The sequence below is a fragment of the Homo sapiens genome, chromosome 7 (assembly GCF_000001405.40).
Source record: "Homo sapiens chromosome 7, GRCh38.p14 Primary Assembly".
In the NCBI taxonomy this organism is placed as follows: domain Eukaryota; kingdom Metazoa; phylum Chordata; class Mammalia; order Primates; family Hominidae; genus Homo; species Homo sapiens.
In genome coordinates, this window is record NC_000007.14 from 92,081,398 (window position 1) to 92,100,133 (window position 18,736).

At 36.7% G+C, this 18,736-nt stretch overlaps 1 protein-coding gene across 3 annotated transcripts in view; it reads left to right on the forward strand.

The window, feature by feature from the left end:
- Positions 1 to 18,736, forward strand: part of AKAP9 (A-kinase anchoring protein 9) — a 169,812-nt gene that overhangs the window by 140,536 nt on the left and 10,540 nt on the right. For all 3 annotated transcript variants that reach the window (NM_005751.5, NM_147185.3, NM_001379277.1), the window contains 13 exons: positions 1,125 to 1,265; positions 1,773 to 2,258; positions 3,243 to 3,306; positions 3,422 to 3,543; positions 4,098 to 4,289; positions 4,831 to 5,019; positions 7,988 to 8,132; positions 11,700 to 11,919; positions 13,626 to 13,776; positions 15,292 to 15,960; positions 16,189 to 16,397; positions 16,712 to 16,817; positions 18,290 to 18,472. In NM_005751.5, coding sequence (NP_005742.4) covers positions 1,125 to 1,265; positions 1,773 to 2,258; positions 3,243 to 3,306; positions 3,422 to 3,543; positions 4,098 to 4,289; positions 4,831 to 5,019; positions 7,988 to 8,132; positions 11,700 to 11,919; positions 13,626 to 13,776; positions 15,292 to 15,960; positions 16,189 to 16,397; positions 16,712 to 16,817; positions 18,290 to 18,472 — 2,877 coding nt within the window. The remainder of the gene's footprint in view (positions 1 to 1,124; positions 1,266 to 1,772; positions 2,259 to 3,242; positions 3,307 to 3,421; positions 3,544 to 4,097; positions 4,290 to 4,830; positions 5,020 to 7,987; positions 8,133 to 11,699; positions 11,920 to 13,625; positions 13,777 to 15,291; positions 15,961 to 16,188; positions 16,398 to 16,711; positions 16,818 to 18,289; positions 18,473 to 18,736) is intronic.

Sequence of the window (18,736 nt, forward strand, 5' to 3'; positions counted from 1 at the left end):
GGTTTCCAGCAATTCTCCTGCCTCGGCCTCCCAGGCGGCTGGGATTACAGACACGCACCACCACACCCGGCTAATTTATATATATATATATATATATATATTTTTTTTTTTTTAGTAGAGACGAGGTTTCTCCATGTTAGCCAAGCTGGTCTCAAACTCCTGACCTCAAGTGATCCGCCTGCCTTGGCCTCCCAAAGTGCTAGGATTACAGGTGTTAGCCACTGCGCCTGGCCAGCTTTTACAAATTTTATACCTGATAATAGATTTCATCTGTTTTAAGTAAAAATGCGTAGTTGACCTCTGTAAGTTTACTTATGAGAAGATCTGAAATCGCAGTTATTTCTTAGCATATGACAGATAGGACAAGAGCTTTTTTTTCCTCCAAATTCTCACCTTATAAATTTATAACTTTGAGTAGCTGAACTTCAGTCTTCTCCAAACACCAGAAGATTAACTGATAAATCACAATTCTATAATTATATATTTTGCAAAGAATAATAATTCCCTGGCTTTTTCCTCCTTCATTGGAACTAAGTTACTTAAGTTATAGATAATTAAAATAGTAATATAACTTTCTTTTTTTCCTGGACACAGAGTCTTGCTTTGTTGCCCAGGCTGAAGTTTAGTGGCGCAGTCTTGGCTCATTGCAACCTCTCCCTCCTGAGCAGCTGGGACTACAGGTGTGCACCACAACACCTGGCTAATTTTTGTATTTTTTGTAGAGACAGGGTTTCGCCACGTTGCCCAGACTGGCCTCAAACTCCTGGCCTCAAATGATCTACCTGTCTCAGCCTCTCAAAGTGCTGGGATTACAGGCGTGAGCCACCGTGCCTGGCCTAAAATAGTAATGTAACTTTCCATTTTAGGATGTATATGAATAACATTACTTACCTTTTATTCCCAGAAAATCATTCTTTTCTCAAGAAGAAAATCATTGTCTCAAGAATATAAGATGATGGTTCTGAAAAAGCTTCTCTGTTTTTGGAAAGAGCATTGATTTGTTCCAACTCCTTATATCTGTAGGCAGTCATTCCTTGGATGGTTTTATTAGAATGTATAAGAGCCTTGAATTTAGCTATATTTTTTTTAAATTATGTGTTTCTTGTGTTTCCGCTGTCATTCAGACAACTACTGAGCTATTTCATAGCAATGAAGAAAGTGGATTTTTTAATGAACTCGAGGCTCTTAGAGCTGAATCAGTGGCTACCAAAGCAGAACTTGCCAGTTATAAAGAAAAGGCTGAAAAACTTCAAGAAGAGCTTTTGGTAAGATAAGTAACATAGCTCCTAATTCACTCATTTCTACCTATCTTAATTACGTTTCAAAGTATATACTCTTTTATAACAAATGAGCTCCATAACTTAAAAGCTAGATAAAAAGTATTTTGTGGATTTGATGAAAACTTTCATTGTTATAAATTTCTTTACCAACATCTTCTTGCTTGGTTTTCCTGGAAATCTTTCTTAGGAGGATACTTTTTATTTCCATTCTGTTAATGAAGGAGTAGAAAGTTGTTAAAGAGAACTGTATATCCCATGAGAACCAAAAATAGAAGCTAATAAAATTATTTCATTTCTATAGTAATCTATGACCATACGTACATACAAATATATATATGTAAACTGTGAGCGTTTCTGAAATGTTTTTCCTACTACTCTGAGGAAAATGAACGTATAATCATGAATTACATTCCTCCCACACCCTTTAAATTCTACATTTAATATGGGAAGATTTTAACTGAATGCCCTACTGTTCTATTCATTACGTTTTAGGTAAAAGAAACAAATATGACATCTCTTCAGAAAGACTTAAGCCAAGTTAGGGATCACCTCGCAGAGGCAAAAGAGAAATTGTCCATTTTAGAAAAAGAAGATGAGACTGAGGTACAAGAAAGCAAAAAGGCCTGCATGTTTGAGCCACTTCCTATAAAACTGAGTAAGAGCATTGCATCCCAGACAGATGGGACTCTGAAGATCAGTAGCAGCAATCAGACTCCACAAATTCTTGTTAAAAATGCAGGAATACAAATTAATTTACAGAGTGAATGTTCCTCAGAAGAAGTTACTGAAATAATCAGTCAGTTTACTGAAAAAATTGAGAAGATGCAAGAACTACATGCTGCTGAAATTTTGGACATGGAATCCAGACATATTTCAGAAACTGAAACCTTAAAGAGGGAACACTATGTTGCCGTTCAGTTACTGAAAGAGGAATGTGGTACCTTGAAGGCAGTGATACAGTGTCTGAGAAGTAAAGAGGTATTTGGTTTTTATAATATGTGTTTTTCAACATTGTGTGGTTTTTTAAAAAAAAAAAATCAGTTTAATTCATTTTGTAGATGACAAACCAAAATGCAACTCATTAAGGCACTTGATCTTTCTAAGTAGGTGTATTATCAAGGCAAGTTTTAAACTCCTAGTACAATATTCCTTTTTTTTCTTTTGTTATACTTTAAGTTCTGGGATACACGTGCAGGATGTGCAGGTTTGTTACACAGGTATACACGTGCCATGGTGGTTTGCTGCACCCATCAACCCGTCATCTACATTAGGTATTTCTCCTAAAGCTGTCCCTCCCCTAGCACCTCACCCCCGACAGGCCCCAGTGTGTGATGTTCCCCTCCCTGTGTCCATGTGTTCTCATTGTTTAACTCCCACTTATGAGTGAGAACATGCAGTGTTTGGTTTTCTGTTCTTGTGTTAGTCCGCTGAGAATGATGGTTTCCAGCTTCATCTATGTCCCTGCAAATGACATGAACGCATCCTTTTTTATGGCTACATAGTATTCCATGGTGTATATGTGCCACATTTTCTTTATCCAGTTTATCATTGATGGGCATTTGGGTTGGTTCCAACACTGTGTGCTTTTAAGAGAAAATAAAAAAACGGGGGCAGTCTCTTCCTTATGATCGCAATTTTAATGGTTTTGAACTTTTTTAAATTTAAAGAGTTTTTAGTTTTAAATTTCTTTAAATCTTTCCATTGCATAGAGTTAAATAATATATGATGTTCCTGTATGGATTTGGAACATGTTATCTTTCCTTAATTCATGAGTATCTCTTCTTATGGTAATATTCATGAAGAAACAGACTTGTTAAAAAAAAAAACCATGAATAATTTCATTTATTATGAAAGGTGTGACAGATTTGATTGATTACAGCACGGGAAACCAGCAAAATAATTCATTGTATTCTATTTTTATTAAAGCAAAAAATATATGTACTTTTTGTTTTCTCTAATTAGGGATCCTCAATTCCTGAGCTAGCACATTCTGATGCTTACCAGACTAGAGAAATATGCTCCAGTGGTAAGTTATATAAATATTTGTAATGTTTGTAGTAGTTGTTTAAGAAATAATAGTTTTTTGGGGACTGGGGTTTGATTTTTTTTTTTTTAACAGCAAATTATTTTCTTTATTTTAGATTCTGGATCAGACTGGGGTCAGGGAATTTATCTTACACACAGTCAGGGATTTGACATAGCATCAGAAGGCCGAGGAGAAGAAAGTGAAAGTGCAACAGATTCCTTTCCAAAGAAAATAAAGGTACTAAAAGATAGATACCTTTTATTAACTCAGCCAGTGTTGTTTCTATGTTGAACATAGCAGTTCATTAGAAGTTATATGGTGGGATCATTTCTGAAGAGAGAATTGCTTAGCTAGAAGGAATCTGAGAGATCTATTTTATTTCCACATTTCACAGATAATAAAGTAAGAGATTAATGATAATATGTATGAAGACTTTTTTTCTTAATAATTCTTATTCCTGATGTATTCGTTTGCCAGAATTTTTAAAGTAGTCTCAAAGAGTAGAAGTTAGAGCCCATGTATTTATTTTGGTCAAATCAGTAGCTTATCAGTAAACCTAGGAAGAGTACATTAGCCAAACAGAAGGAACTTAGAGATGAGAGCTATGGAAAGTCATAGGCCATCTGCTGGGGTTGGCTTACCCCTCCACAGGAAGAAGGCATTCAGTAATGTTGGGCTGGAGTTTTCTCTCTGCAAGCTATCTTGCTTAAAATTTATTTCTGTTTGTAAGTCTAATTTTTCAGTCTGTGAAGAAGTTGTCATAATTCTGGCTCTTGGGTTTTGGTTTCCAGGGATTACTGAGAGCTGTCCATAATGAAGGCATGCAGGTGCTTTCTCTCACTGAGTCTCCCTATAGTGATGGAGAGGACCATTCTATTCAGCAGGTTTCAGAACCTTGGCTAGAAGAGAGAAAAGCTTACATCAATACAATCTCATCTCTAAAGGATTTAATTACAAAGATGCAACTGCAAAGAGAAGCCGAGGTAACCAAAGAATACTATGCATTTAAATCATTTTATGTATTATTTGAACAATAATAATACATTATAAATTAAATTATCTTTTATACATATTTTTGCATGAATAACTATATATATATATTTTCACACTTGAAACTCAGCCAGAAGCAGTGCCTCATGCCTGTAATCCCAGCACTTTGGGAGGCCGAGGTGGGTGGATCACCTGAAGTCAGGAGTTCAAGACCAGCCTGGCCAACATGTTGAAACCCGTCTCTACTAAAAATACAAAAATTAGCCAGGCGTGGTGGTGGGTGCCTGTAATCCCAGCTACTCAGGAGAATCGCTTGAACCTGGGAGGTGGAGGTTGCAGTGAGCTGAGATCATGCCACTGCACTCCAGCCTGAGCAACAGAGTGAGACTGTCTCAAAAAGAAAAAAATAAATAAATAAAAGAAGTACACATGCTCCTAGGCTTTTAATTATTTTTCTTTGTAGATTAATATTTTTAGAATGTTTTTAAAACATGCTTATTTGAAAACTAACTATCGTTATATGTACTTTGCTAGGTTTATGATAGTTCTCAATCTCATGAGAGCTTCTCAGACTGGCGAGGTGAACTACTGCTTGCCCTTCAACAAGTTTTCTTAGAAGAGCGTAGTGTTTTACTAGCAGCATTTCGGACGGAGCTGACAGCTCTAGGTACTACAGATGCAGTTGGTTTACTAAACTGTTTGGAACAGAGAATACAAGAACAGGTATAATGAAACTTCATTTTAAAAACACTTTAATAGAAATAAGGAAATGACTATTGATTTTAGAGTCTTAATTTAAGTATGAAGGTTAAGATTTTAATAGGAGCCACTATGAATATTTTAAAAAAATTATTGTAACTATTTTAACGTATTATGTTAGAAGGTAAGAAAGACTGAAAGTTAATGAGCTTATTTTCTAACCTAGGAAATTAGAAAAAGAGCAACAGAATAATCCCAAACAAATTTGAGAGAGTAAATTCTCATTATTTGCACTGGTTATGTTCCATAAAGTTGCTCTGAACATTGAGCGGTCATTGCTCCTAAGGGAAATACAAGGTTAGGTTCCTGTAAGCCTTTGGTCACAACATTTTCATCAGTCAGCACATAACCTTGTCTATATGTGATTCTATTTTAAGACACCTTATTTACTATATATTATTGATTGATTAACCTTGAACACCACCAACAGCACTATAACTCATGCCTGAAAAAAACTTGTCTGACACACATATTTTCTCCTTAAGGCACATCACAGCCTTCTCGTACTTAGGAACACCATAAAGCACTTCAGCACTACTTTTGGGGGCCATTCTAAACAGTGAAATCACAAATAAAAGGCACAAAAATTTGAAAAGTCACTAAGTACTCTGTAAAAAGGACATTTGACTTCAGCTGGGGACACCCACATTGGACCATTTAAATTTTTTGCTGCTGTATGCATTTCTGTGAAAGACCATGAAAGCAACACAACAATGGATTTGGGAGTTACAAATACATTTTAGTGAGAAGGCAAATCTGCAAATATGGAATCAGAATAATGAGGATTCCCTTTAACGAAGAAGACGACGTCAATAGACACACTGGTACAATAGGATAAAATGTTAAAAGTTGGACATTTGAACTTTTCTGGAGAATTGGTTAAGCAAAATGATAAAGCACACATTTTTAAAGTTAGGAATGAACTAAAGATATACCTGAGATATAAAAATAATAGAATATTATGAATAATTTCATGAGAGTAAACTTAAACACTTGGGTGAAATGGACAGATTTTCTAAAAAGAAATTCACTTATGAAAACTCTTTCAGTAAGAAATAGAAGACCTCCAAAGACCTATTACTAGTAACAGAATCAAATCAATAGTTAAAAATCTACTCATAATACTTAACACCCAGATCTTTTTTTTTAATATATTCTCCACTGAAAAGAACTAGGACTTCTTGTAGAACTGATGATTCTAGGGATGGACCAGGGAAAGTATAAGGTGAGCCTGGAACATCTTGTTTTGCTGGCAAGTAAGGAATTGTTCAAAGAATGAAGGGAACATGTCGAAAGGTCATAGAAGCCAGCTTGAAGGAGCTCCAATTGACCAAATTCTAGAAAAATTTAAACATTATATTAAATGATAGTGACAAATTATAAGCCAAAGAGTGAAATAAGAACTCATGAGACCATACTGATATAAATAAATAAATATATATATAAATAAATAAATAGTATTACCATGGAATGACAGCTAGTAAATGTAGAAGGAACAATGAAATTAGGAAATCACCCTTTATTAAACACTGTAGTGTTAAATCACCCTTTATTAAACACTATTCAGGCAATAGTTCGCAACAGATGCTAAAACTAGTGTGAAAAGGTTTGTTAAGAAAGTATATTTACATAGTCTCAAAGTAAATCCCCAGAAAATCTTCTTTAATTACCAGGGAAAAGCAGTAACTTTACAGTGGAGAAACCTTGCAGATACCACCTTAACCAAGTGATCAGAATTACTATTACCAGAAATGGAATAGACATCATACAGTTCCTAATGTGAAGGGCACGATGCCACTTTTGTAGTGTTTTTGTCAAATGAATATTCAGAGTCTACTCTTGGGGAAATATCAGACCAAAACAAATTGAGAACACTACATCTATCAAAATAAAAAATAGTGACAGCAAGTACTGGAGAGGATGAAAAGAAACTGTCTCATAGATTGCTGGTAGCAATGTGAAATGGGAGGGCAATAGCCAAAAACTGGAATGTTCTTTGACAGGGGAATGGATGGACAAAATGTGGTACATCCATACAATGAAATATTACTCAGCAATTAAAAAGAAACAAACTATTTATGCCTACAACCACTTGTATGCTATATAATGCTCTTAAAATGACAAAATTATAGTAATAGAAAGCAGATCAGTGGTTGACAGGGGTTAGGGTTAGGGAGAGAGTTTGACTACAGAGGAGTTTCTTCGTGGTGAGAAAACAGTTGGTACTCTGATGGTAGTGGTGGTTACGTGAACCTATCCATACATGTGATCAAATTTTGTAGGACTACACACCAAGAAAACTAATGATCAAATTTTGTAGGACTACACACCAAGAAAACTAATGTGAAAACTAATGAAATCTGAGTAAGCCCTATAGTTTGGTATTGTACTAATACCATTTTCCTGGTTTTGATAATATACTATGGTAATGCAAGATGGTATCATTGGGAAAAGCTGGCTAACAGATACATGGGAACTTTAGCTTTAATTAATTCAAAATAAAAAGTTTTTTAAAATTGAGGAACGTACAACAAAATAGCCTGTAGTCTTCAAAAATTCAAGGTCATGAAAGACAAAGAAAGACTTGGGAATATCACTTTTTTTCTTTTTGCTGTGAAGTACATTTCACAAAATTTGAATAGGCTCTGTATATCACATAATAGTATTGTAGTAATGTTAATTCCACTTTTGCTAATTGTAGTTATGTAAAAGAATGTTCTTGTTTTAAGGAAATACACTCTGGTATTTAGAGGTAAATGAGCATTTGTCTGCAGCATATCCTCATACATTTTGGAAAGGAAAAATAAGAAAATTTTTTAAAAAAGAAAATTTTAGTATGTGTGTTCCATTCATTCTTCTTTAGATTTCTTGGTTGTTAATTGTATTGCCTTTACATTGCTCTTCACTTGTTTTTTACCTTCCTTTGTTACAGGGTGTTGAATATCAAGCAGCTATGGAATGCCTCCAGAAAGCAGATAGAAGGAGTTTGTTATCTGAAATTCAGGCACTGCATGCACAAATGAATGGTAGGAAAATTACTCTGAAAAGAGAACAAGAGAGTGAGAAACCAAGCCAAGGTATGTTGTATGACAAGCTCATATGGTTACACAAACAGGTGAAAAGATTTCACTTTGTTTTCTTTCTTATTATTATTAAGTTAAAACATATTTTCTTGGTCACATTTTCTTCTCATTCTCATAATGTTAAGGATACAATCTATATTAATTACTCTAGGGGTTAGAGGATTGTCTAATTGGTTTAAACAGCTACGTTGACTTTAAAATAAACTGCCATTCCCCTGATAAGGTTAAGCCCATTGGATTCATTCTTTTTCTTTATTTTAGAGCTGTATGTTAAGAAAACAGTCTTTCCAATCATAAAACAGAAAATACTCTTTAGAGGAAAATCCACAATGCATGTAACTAATTATTTTTTAATCCTTTTTTAAAAAAATTGTGAGCCATAACATACAGAAAATTACAAATTGCAAATATGCAGTATGACGCATTTTTAAATGAGTATCTATGGAAACATCACCCATGTGAATATAGCCAGTATCCCAACAGCCCCTTCTCCCAAGCACATGCTCCTCTGAGTAACTTAGAGGTAATCATTGTTCTGATTTTTCTTTAGTTTTACTATCTATTTATATATTCCTAAAACATTTAAGTTTCAAGTTTTTTTCTGTTTTTGAACTTTATCAATCTGTATGTATTTTTTATCTTGTTTCTTTCACCTCTCTGTAACATTCTTCCAACATTCTTCCAAGTTACTGCATTTTTCAAGTTACTGCATTCTTCCAAATTAGTAGTAGAACATTCTTCCAAGTTACTGCATTTATCTCTAGTTCATTCATTCTTGTTACTCTATAACTCTATGACCCTGTGTAGGGCCAGGCACGGTGGCTTACACCTGTAATCCCAGCACTTTGGGAGGCTGACGTGGGTGGATCACGAGGTCAGAAGTTCAAGATGAGCCTAGCCAAAATGGTGAAACCCAGTCTCTACTAAAAATACAAAAATTAGCCAGGCGTGGTGGCGGGTGCCTGTAAGGCCAGCCACTCAGGAGACTGAAGCAGAGAATTACTTGAACCCAGAAGGTGGAGGTTGCAGTGAGCTGAAATCACACCACTGCACTCTAGCCTGAGCGACAGAGCAAGACTCCATCTCAAAAAAAAAAAAAAAAAAAAGAATTTCCTGTATAGATACTCCAAAATTAATATATCCATTCTATTAATATGATTGAGCATTTGGGTTGTTTCTACTTTTTAGCTGTTTAGCTATCAATGTTATTATAAACATTGTTGTATAGTGTTTCTGCTACATATGTGCATGCATCTTCTGAGTATATGACTAAGAGCAGAATTGCTGGGTCATGGAATGCCTATCTTAGATAAGGTCAAATGATTTTCCTACATAGTCATATTAGTTTATACACTTAGTAGCAGTATATGAGAGTTACGTTGCTTCACATCTTTGCCAACAGTTAGTATAGTCAGACTTCTGTTGCCAATCTGATGGGTGTGCAGTGGATTCTTATTGTGGTTTTAATTGGCTGTTCTCTAGTTCCTGAAGGGTTTAGTCCTTTTTCATATGGTAATTGGCTAGTTGGATTTTTATTTTTGTGATATGCTTGTTTAGGTACTTTTTGATAACAGTATCTGGTCTTTTAAATTGAGCTACAGATGGAAATCATTAGAAAGTAAAGTGAAATCTAATTTTCATCATGTCCACTGAGGACACATACCTGTGTGTTCAGTAATTTTGTGTCATGTACTGGTAGAAACATGTATCCTTTGGAAAATTTTGAAAGTCACAGCATGGTCTCACATTGGTCATTATAAAGCTGAAGCAGGCTGGGCCCTGTGGTTCACGCCTGTAATCCCAGCACTTTGGGAGGCCGAGGTGGGAGGATCACGAGGTCAGGAGTACGAGACCAGCCTGGCCAACATGGTGAAACCCCATCTCTACTAAAAATACAAAAATTAGCTTGGCGTGATGCTCGGTGCCTGTAATCCCAGCTACTCGGGAGGCTGAGGCAGGAGAATCGTCTGAACTTAGGAGGCAGAGGTTGCAATGAGTTGGGATCGTGCCATTGTACTCCAGCTTGGACGACAGGGCAAGACTCTGTCTCAAAAAAAAAAAACAAAAAAAAAAAACAAAGCAGAAGCATTCTTACCACTGAGTTTAAGAAGGAAAAAAAAAAGCAGGTTAAAATTACTTCAGAAAAGAGAGTCATAATGAGATAAACATATCACTTTAAACGTAGGCGTAATTGAAGATGTCTTTTAGAGATAGATTAATATTGTTTTACTTAGGTTAAATAGAACACCATTGAAAGCTTAATGTCACAGATTCACATTTATGTAAATCCTTAACCTCTAAAGTTTTTAGAAGCCTAAATTAAACATGATTGATTATCATCTAAAGCTAATGTTATTTCTGTCTCCTAACGTCAGTAATATGAATTGTAATGTGAATTGTTGAACTTTGATAGTATTTTTTAAGTTAAAAATGTTTTTCTTATTAGAGTAGTATAGTATTACATATTTATGGTAGAATACAGAAAAGAATAGAGTGAAAATCATCCCTTGAATCACCTAAATCCTAAAATAATGACTACCTAACACCTGGGTAAATATGTCTCCAGACCTTTTCAATGTGCATGTGTACATAAGCTTGTATTTTTCATAAAAAAGGAATCCTGATACATATTTTATAACATACTTTTTTTCATTTAACATACTGAGGCATTTAAAATTTTCAGTTTGTTTTTATTGTAGCAAACATGTAGTAAGGGTTTGGTTGGCTTTCAATGGATAAAAGGACGGTATCCAAAGGGGGGTTTGAATTTCCCACTTCTGGGAACAGACTCCTATTAAAGTTCCAGGGGACTATCTGCAGTGGGGTGCTGAACAAAAGATATCAGCAGTGCTCATCATTGTAGTAACTTGGGTAACTCCTCCAAATACTTTGTGTGACTATCAGAAATCTTTGGAATTTTTTAATGTACATTCTTGAAATTCTGAATGTACAAATATGAGTTCCATTTAAAGTTTTTTTTTTTAATTTTAAGTCTTGCATCCATTAATGTATTCTCTTAAACTTTTATCCTTATATATTTATAGCTCTGAAATCTTGGCCACTAGCACTATGAGGAAAACATGCCTGAAATTTATTTTTATACGTTACCAACCCTTTTTGTTTGTTTTTTTGAGACAGGGTCTCACTGTCACTGAGGCTGGAGTACAGTGGCATGGTCTCAACTCATTGCAACCTCCACCTCCCGGGCTCAAGCAATCCCCCCACCTCAGCCTCCTGAGTCGATGGGACTACAGGCACATGCCAGCACGCCCAGCTAATTTTTGTATTTTTAGTAGAGACAGAGTTTCACCATGTTGCCCAGGCTGGTCTTGAACTCCTGGCCTTAAGCAGTCCTCCCTCCCACCTCAGCCTCCCAAAGTGCTGGGATTACAGGTGTGAGCCACCATGCCTGGACTGCATTACCAACTCTTGGGACTATAATTTTTCATGTTTCCTTTGAAGTAATCTCCTTAACTACAAATCAGTTCTTATCAACAAATATTTATAAACCAAATATGAGTTGCTTGATTATGTTTCAAATATTAATCATGTTCTGTGTAGAACTCTTGGAATATAATATACAGCAGAAGCAGTCTCAAATGCTGGAGATGCAAGTGGAGCTCAGCAGTATGAAAGACAGAGCAACGGAACTGCAGGAGCAGCTGAGTTCTGAGAAAATGGTGGTTGCTGAACTGAAGAGTGAGCTTGCACAAACTAAATTGGAACTAGAAACAACACTCAAGGCACAGCATAAACACCTAAAAGAATTGGAGGCTTTCAGGTGTGCCAGGCTTCCTTATTAAAAACATGTAACAAGGAGTGGGAGTAATTTTGTCATAAACACTGTGCAAATATAGAGAAATGTAACATGCATGATATTTAAATAGCATGCAACTGTTTTTTTTAGGAAAAACTATAATAGAAAAAACTCTAAATGTTTCCAAATGATGAACTTATGATCGTGATTATAGCATATTCTCTACTGTGACTTCAGTTCTGTGTGAGACTTGTATGAAATAGAATTTTGACTTTGACCTTTATTTTACCATCAACCAATTTGAAGTGATATTTATGAACGCAGTAGAATTCATGATTGAGTGAGCTAAAATATGCAAAATATTTGAAGAGACAATGCTTGTTAAAAGAATATATTTCTTGGTATAAATACTGAGATATTCTGTTGCCAAAGACACATTACAACTAGTCATTTTTATATTGAACATTAGCTTCACACACAAATAGATATGGTGATTCCCATGTTCAGTAAAAGACAAAAATTTTATTTACTTTTTATTTATTTATTTATTTTATTTTATTTTTATTTAATTGTTTTGAGATGGAATCTCGCTCTGTCGCCCAGACTGGAGTGCAATGGCATGATATTGGCTCACTGCAACCTCCACCACCCGGGTTCAAGTGATTCTCCTGCCTCAGCCTTCTGAGTAGCTGGGATTATAGGCACCCGCCACCATGCCTGGCTAATTTTTGTATTTTCAATAGAGACAGAGTTTCACCATGTTGACCATGCTGGTCTCGCACTCCTGACCTCAGGTGACCCACCCACCACGGCCTCCCAAAGTGCCGGGATTACAGGTGTGAGCCACCATGCCCAGCCAAAATTTTTATTAATACTATTTTGTAACAATAAATTGCATAGTTGTTTGCATTGATAATTAATAACTAGTAATTGTACTACTAGAAACAGTTAATTTGAAGCCAGGTGTGGTGACTAATGCCTGTAATCCCAGCACTTTGGGAGGCCAAGGCAGGTGGATCACCTGAGGTCAGGAGTTCAAGACCAGCCTGGCCAACATGGTGAAACCCCATCTCTACTAAAAATACAAAAAATTAGCCGGGCATGCTGGCATTCACCTGTAATCCCAGCTACATGGGAGGGTGAGGCAGGAGAATCACTTGAACCCGGGAGGCGGAGGTTACAGTGAGCCAGGATCGCGCTATTGCACTCCATCCTGGGTGACAAGAGGGAAACTCCGTCTCAAAAAAAAAGAAAAAAGAGGGCCGGGCGCGGTGGCTCATGCCTGTAATCCGAGCACTTTGGGAGGCCAAGACAGGCGGATCATGAGGTCAGGAGATTGAAACCATCCTGGCCAAAATGGTGAAACTCCATCTCTACTGAAAATACAAAAATTAGCTGGGCGTGGTTGCGGGCACCTGTAGTCCCAGCTACCCGGGAGGCTGAGGCAGGAGAATTGCTTTAACCCGGGAGGTGGAGGTTGCAGTGAGCCGAGATGGCGCTACTGCACTCCAGCCTGGCGACAGAGCGAGACTCCGTCTCGAAACAAAACAACAAAAAAAAGAAAGAGTTAATTTGAAATGAACCCCAGTCAAGAATCTTTAATAGTTTATATTTTCCTCTTAGCTAGTTTATTATATGCCTCAACTTATCAGTAGAAGCTGTTTTTCTCTCTCTCATTATATGCTTCGTCAACATAGCTTTATGGAAATTCATTTGTCTTTCTGACTTAGGTTGGAAGTTAAAGATAAGACAGATGAAGTACATTTGCTTAATGACACATTAGCAAGTGAACAGAAAAAATCAAGAGAGCTCCAGTGGGCTTTGGAGAAAGAGAAAGCCAAGTTGGGACGCAGTGAAGAACGGGATAAAGAAGAACTTGAGGTACTGTTATCTTTGTCTTTAAATGTCTGGAAAATCCAGAATGATAGAAGAGGGTCTTAAGGCTTTCCTCCATCTAAAATGTCAACCTTAGACTTCTTAATAAGATATGGTAAGTTGTTCACTGTGCATTGAATACTACATAAACCGTATTATGAGGAAATGCTAATGGAGTGGTGATTGGTTTTTTTTGTTTGTTTGTTTGTTTTGCTACATCCAAAGATGCATATAGACTGCTCTGCTGCAACATGTTTTGGGCATGTGAATTGGTACACACAGATAAATATGGCAATCCTGTCAGTTTAATACAGAGGTAGTTTTGGTTCCTGTTTTCTCCTAGGGAAGAGGAACAGGGATACTTTTCTGGAGCCCTCACTGCTTAAGAACATTTAAAGTGAACATTGGCCCCTTTCAGAGAGACACACCCCTGCTTTGCAAGGCTCTCAGCTCAAGGCAGGCTGCTTTGAGTATCTGCTTTTAATAGAGGTGGAGTATACATGAAGTATCTGCTTTTAATAGAGGTGTTGTTGTCTCACTGGCTCAGAGCTCTTCTAGCCACGTAATCCTAATTCTCACTAACTCTGTGCTGAAAAACAATGTGTTGCTGGCATTTTTGCCCGATTTTTTATTTTTAATGTCCACTGTGTTAGCCTCCAGGCAAAGAGAACTCTCTGCCCGGCAGGGACATGATATCTCCCTAGGTACCAATTATAGTTTTTTAACCATTAAAAGTTTATGTATATTTTGAGTTATTTGCCCCTAACCTTGCTTTCGTTATAAGCCCTATTATTTTTAGCATGTGATACTGCAAAACACAAGGTTTTTCAGGAACTCCTATCACATTATATCAGGAACATTTATTTTTTAAACAAATTTATTAATGTGCACAGGAATCTTATCAAAACGTAAGATCTCCAGGAACAGTTATATTTTTAAAGGTTGTTATTCTTATAAGAAATGTACCCTGCTTCATATTACTTAGTGAGATTAAGATTTTTTGAGAAAAGTATTATCTTACCCTTCTTTTATTTATATTTCATGATTATGCACTAACTACTGAACATTTAAGTTAATAAACTAAATAATCAGTTCTATTTTCTAATAAAGATACTACCAACATAGTATTAATAAAGGCATGGTTGTATACTTCTGAAGTTTTTTTTGTTTTTTTTTTTTTTTTTGAGTCAAAAGTCTCACTCTGTTGCTCACGCTGGAGGGCAGTGGTGCAATCTAGGCTCACTGCAACCTCCACCTCCCGGGTTCAAGCAATTCGCCTGCCTCAGCCTCCCAAGTAGCTGGGACTACAGGCACGTGCCATTGCACCCAGCTAATTTTTTTGTATTTTTAGTAGAGACAGGGTTTCACCATGTTGGCCAGGCTGGGCTTGAACTCTTGACCTCAGGTGATCTGCCCGCCTCGGCCTCCCAAAGTGCTGGGATTACAGGCGTGAGCCACCACGCCCGGCCAAGTATTTTTAATAATATTAACAAGTTCTTAAATTTGATTTTCTCGTACCAGGATCTGAAGTTTTCACTTGAGAGTCAGAAACAAAGGAATCTTCAGCTAAATCTACTTTTGGAACAACAGAAACAACTACTGAACGAATCCCAGCAAAAAATAGAATCACAGAGAATGCTATATGATGCCCAGTTGTCAGAAGAACAAGGTCGAAACTTAGAGCTTCAGGTACTTCTTGAATCTGAGAAAGTTCGAATTCGGGAAATGAGTAGTACCCTAGATAGGGAGCGGGAATTGCACGCACAGCTGCAGAGCAGTGATGGTACTGGACAGTCTCGGCCACCCTTGCCCTCAGAGGACCTACTGAAAGAGCTGCAGAAACAGCTAGAGGAAAAACACAGTCGCATAGTAGAATTGTTAAATGAGACTGAAAAATATAAACTGGATTCTTTGCAAACACGACAGCAAATGGAAAAAGATAGGCAGGTTCACAGGAAAACACTGCAGACAGAACAGGAGGCCAACACTGAGGGACAGAAAAAAATGCATGAGCTCCAGTCCAAAGTGGAAGATCTTCAGCGCCAGCTGGAAGAGAAAAGACAACAAGTTTATAAGTTAGACCTTGAAGGACAGCGACTACAAGGAATCATGCAGGAATTCCAGAAGCAAGAACTAGAACGAGAAGAAAAACGAGAAAGTAGAAGAATTCTGTATCAGAACCTTAATGAGGTAAACTGACAGTTTCTTTTTAGATATTTTTAAGGAAAGCACTGCAGCCCTTTGATCATTAAATTTTGATATTGGATTAAATTACTTAAATAGCTATATGTAAATCACTTAAAAATGAAATCTATAGAAGTTTATTGGATATAAACAATAATTGTGTTCCCTTAAGATAGACTGTGATATGCTGTTCACTTATAATTATTGTTTTCTTATTCTGTCCAAAATTGCCAGCCAACCACGTGGAGCTTAACCAGTGATAGAACTAGAAATTGGGTTCTTCAACAGAAAATAGAAGGAGAAACAAAAGAATCAAACTACGCTAAATTGATTGAAATGAATGGAGGAGGAACCGGCTGTAATCATGAATTAGAAATGATCAGACAAAAGCTTCAATGTGTAGCTTCAAAACTACAGGTTCTACCCCAGAAAGCCTCTGAGAGGTTAGACTTTTCTGCCTGATCTTTGGGAAAGTAGTATTCTTAGGCTGGGTAGACCCCATGCCTCTGGGACAGCTAGCCAAGGGTGGGGAATTGAAATTTTAAAGGTAATGCGTGTTTACATTAGGAGGTGATATTCTTTAACAGAACTCAAATGTCTGAAAACAACTATCTAACACTTTGACCCAGGGAAGAAAGCATGGGATATAAGGGAGAAGTGATAGGTGAAGTAGAACGTCGCCTGCTCTGTAATGTTTGTGGTAGTAAACACCCCCAATTGAGAAGGTATGTTTTGACTTTTTGTCTTTTTCTTGAAGACTACAGTTTGAAACAGCAGATGATGAAGATTTCATTTGGGTTCAGGAAAATATTGATGAAATTATTTTACAACTACAGAAATTAACTGGCCAGCAAGGTGAAGAGGTAATACTTTTTAAAAGTTATTTCTGAAGCATTGAGAGCAAAGATTTAATAGAAACTGGATAATTTGAAACTTGCAGCATATTCTTTATACTCTTTATAGAGTTTTATTTGTATCTTTTTATTTATTTTAAATATGAATAATAATGCTTGCTTTCCCCCAAGAGAAGATAATGAAAGCTTAGGGGGGGAATTAGCTTTCATTATTGTCATTGAATAATTATGTTGACCTTTTACTGTATGGAGACAAGCTTCCTGAAAGAGTGATCTGGCTTCTATCCTGTCTACTCCATGAAACACCCTTAGACTCCTACAGTGTCTAAACAATTGACTAGTCTGGTGAATCTTTTCAGTTTATCTCTTGACTTCTTTGTAGCATTTGATACTTTTGACCTGTTTTATTTTCTTAAAACCCTCTCTTTCCTTGCCTGTCATGTCAGTATTCTAGCATTTCTTCTGCTTCTTTCATCAGTTGCCTTTATGATTCCTCTTCCTACCCTCTTCCTTCTTTTCTCTAACCTATAACTATGAAAGCTCACACAGTCCGACACCCTGAGCTCTCACTAGACTTATTTATTAAACAAATACTTATATTGAACACTTATTCTGTGCCAGATAGGTTCTGGAGATACAGTGAACAAATCTGACTAAAACCTCACCCTTATGGAGCTTATCTTTAGTGGACTGTGGTTCTAGTCTAGACTTCTGTCCTGTGTTCCAGGTTTATATTTTCAATTAGTTACTAAACATTTTTCCCTGGGGAAATGTACCCCATAGTGACCCCTTAGGAACCTCACAGGCACATTCCAAACTGAACACCATCTTCCCTTTCTACTTCCTGCTCCAGACCCTCATTTCTAGTCATGATATTGCCCAGTTTAGAAAGCTGAAAGTCACCATAGACCACTTTCCTTCACCCTTATCTGCACATCTAGACAGTCACTAAATCCTGTCCCTCTTACCTTCTAAATACCTCTCCCACACACCCTTTACTTTCTGTCCCTTAGTCGTTGCCTCCATTCAGGCTTTCAGCATTTCTTACCTGGCTGTTGAAACAACTTCCTGATAGGTCTACCTGACTCGAAGATTATATCTTCCCTAATTTCCCCTGCTTTGTACATTACTACCAAAGGAATTTTCCCAACACATAAATTTTGTGTCATATTTTTGCATCAAGCCTTTCGTGACTCTCCATTGCCTACATTTAGGTCTGTTATTCATAAAGTGAAGCAATCTAGACTTACCAGGCAACCTACAACACCCCGAAAACAATACACACTCGCTCAAGCCTTCGTGCCTTTTGCTTAATATGCCCTTCCTTATCTTTTCTGCCTGGTAAATATCTACCTATTACTGAATACTCAACTCAAGCACCAATTCATGAATTCTGTTGTTCTCGGTGCCTATTCACACTTTATATGCATTATTCACATCCATTTGTGCTTAAGTGACCTTACACCATTTTATTTTTCCAGCCCAGCTTGGTGTCCCCAAGTACTTCTTGTGGCTCATTGACTGAAAGACTACTGAGACAAAATGCTGAGCTGACAGGGCATATCAGTCAACTGACTGAAGAGAAGAATGACTTAAGGAACATGGTTATGAAGCTGGAAGAGCAGATCAGGTGGTATCGACAGACAGGAGCTGGTAGAGATAATGTATGTCCATTTTTAGCATCTCCATATATGAGAATTAGTGCATGCTTATCATTTCTGCTGTCTAGTTCAAGTTTTAATCCTGTTAATGTAAAACTATCACACACCTGATTCTTAGGATCTGTAGAAAATTTTATAGGGATGACAATAATAATATTATTACTAAGTTATAATAATTACTGTTATTTATTGGAAACCATCTCTGTACTCGACTCTGGGTTGTATACATACAGAATCTCTAATCCACATCCACCTTATACCTGAGAA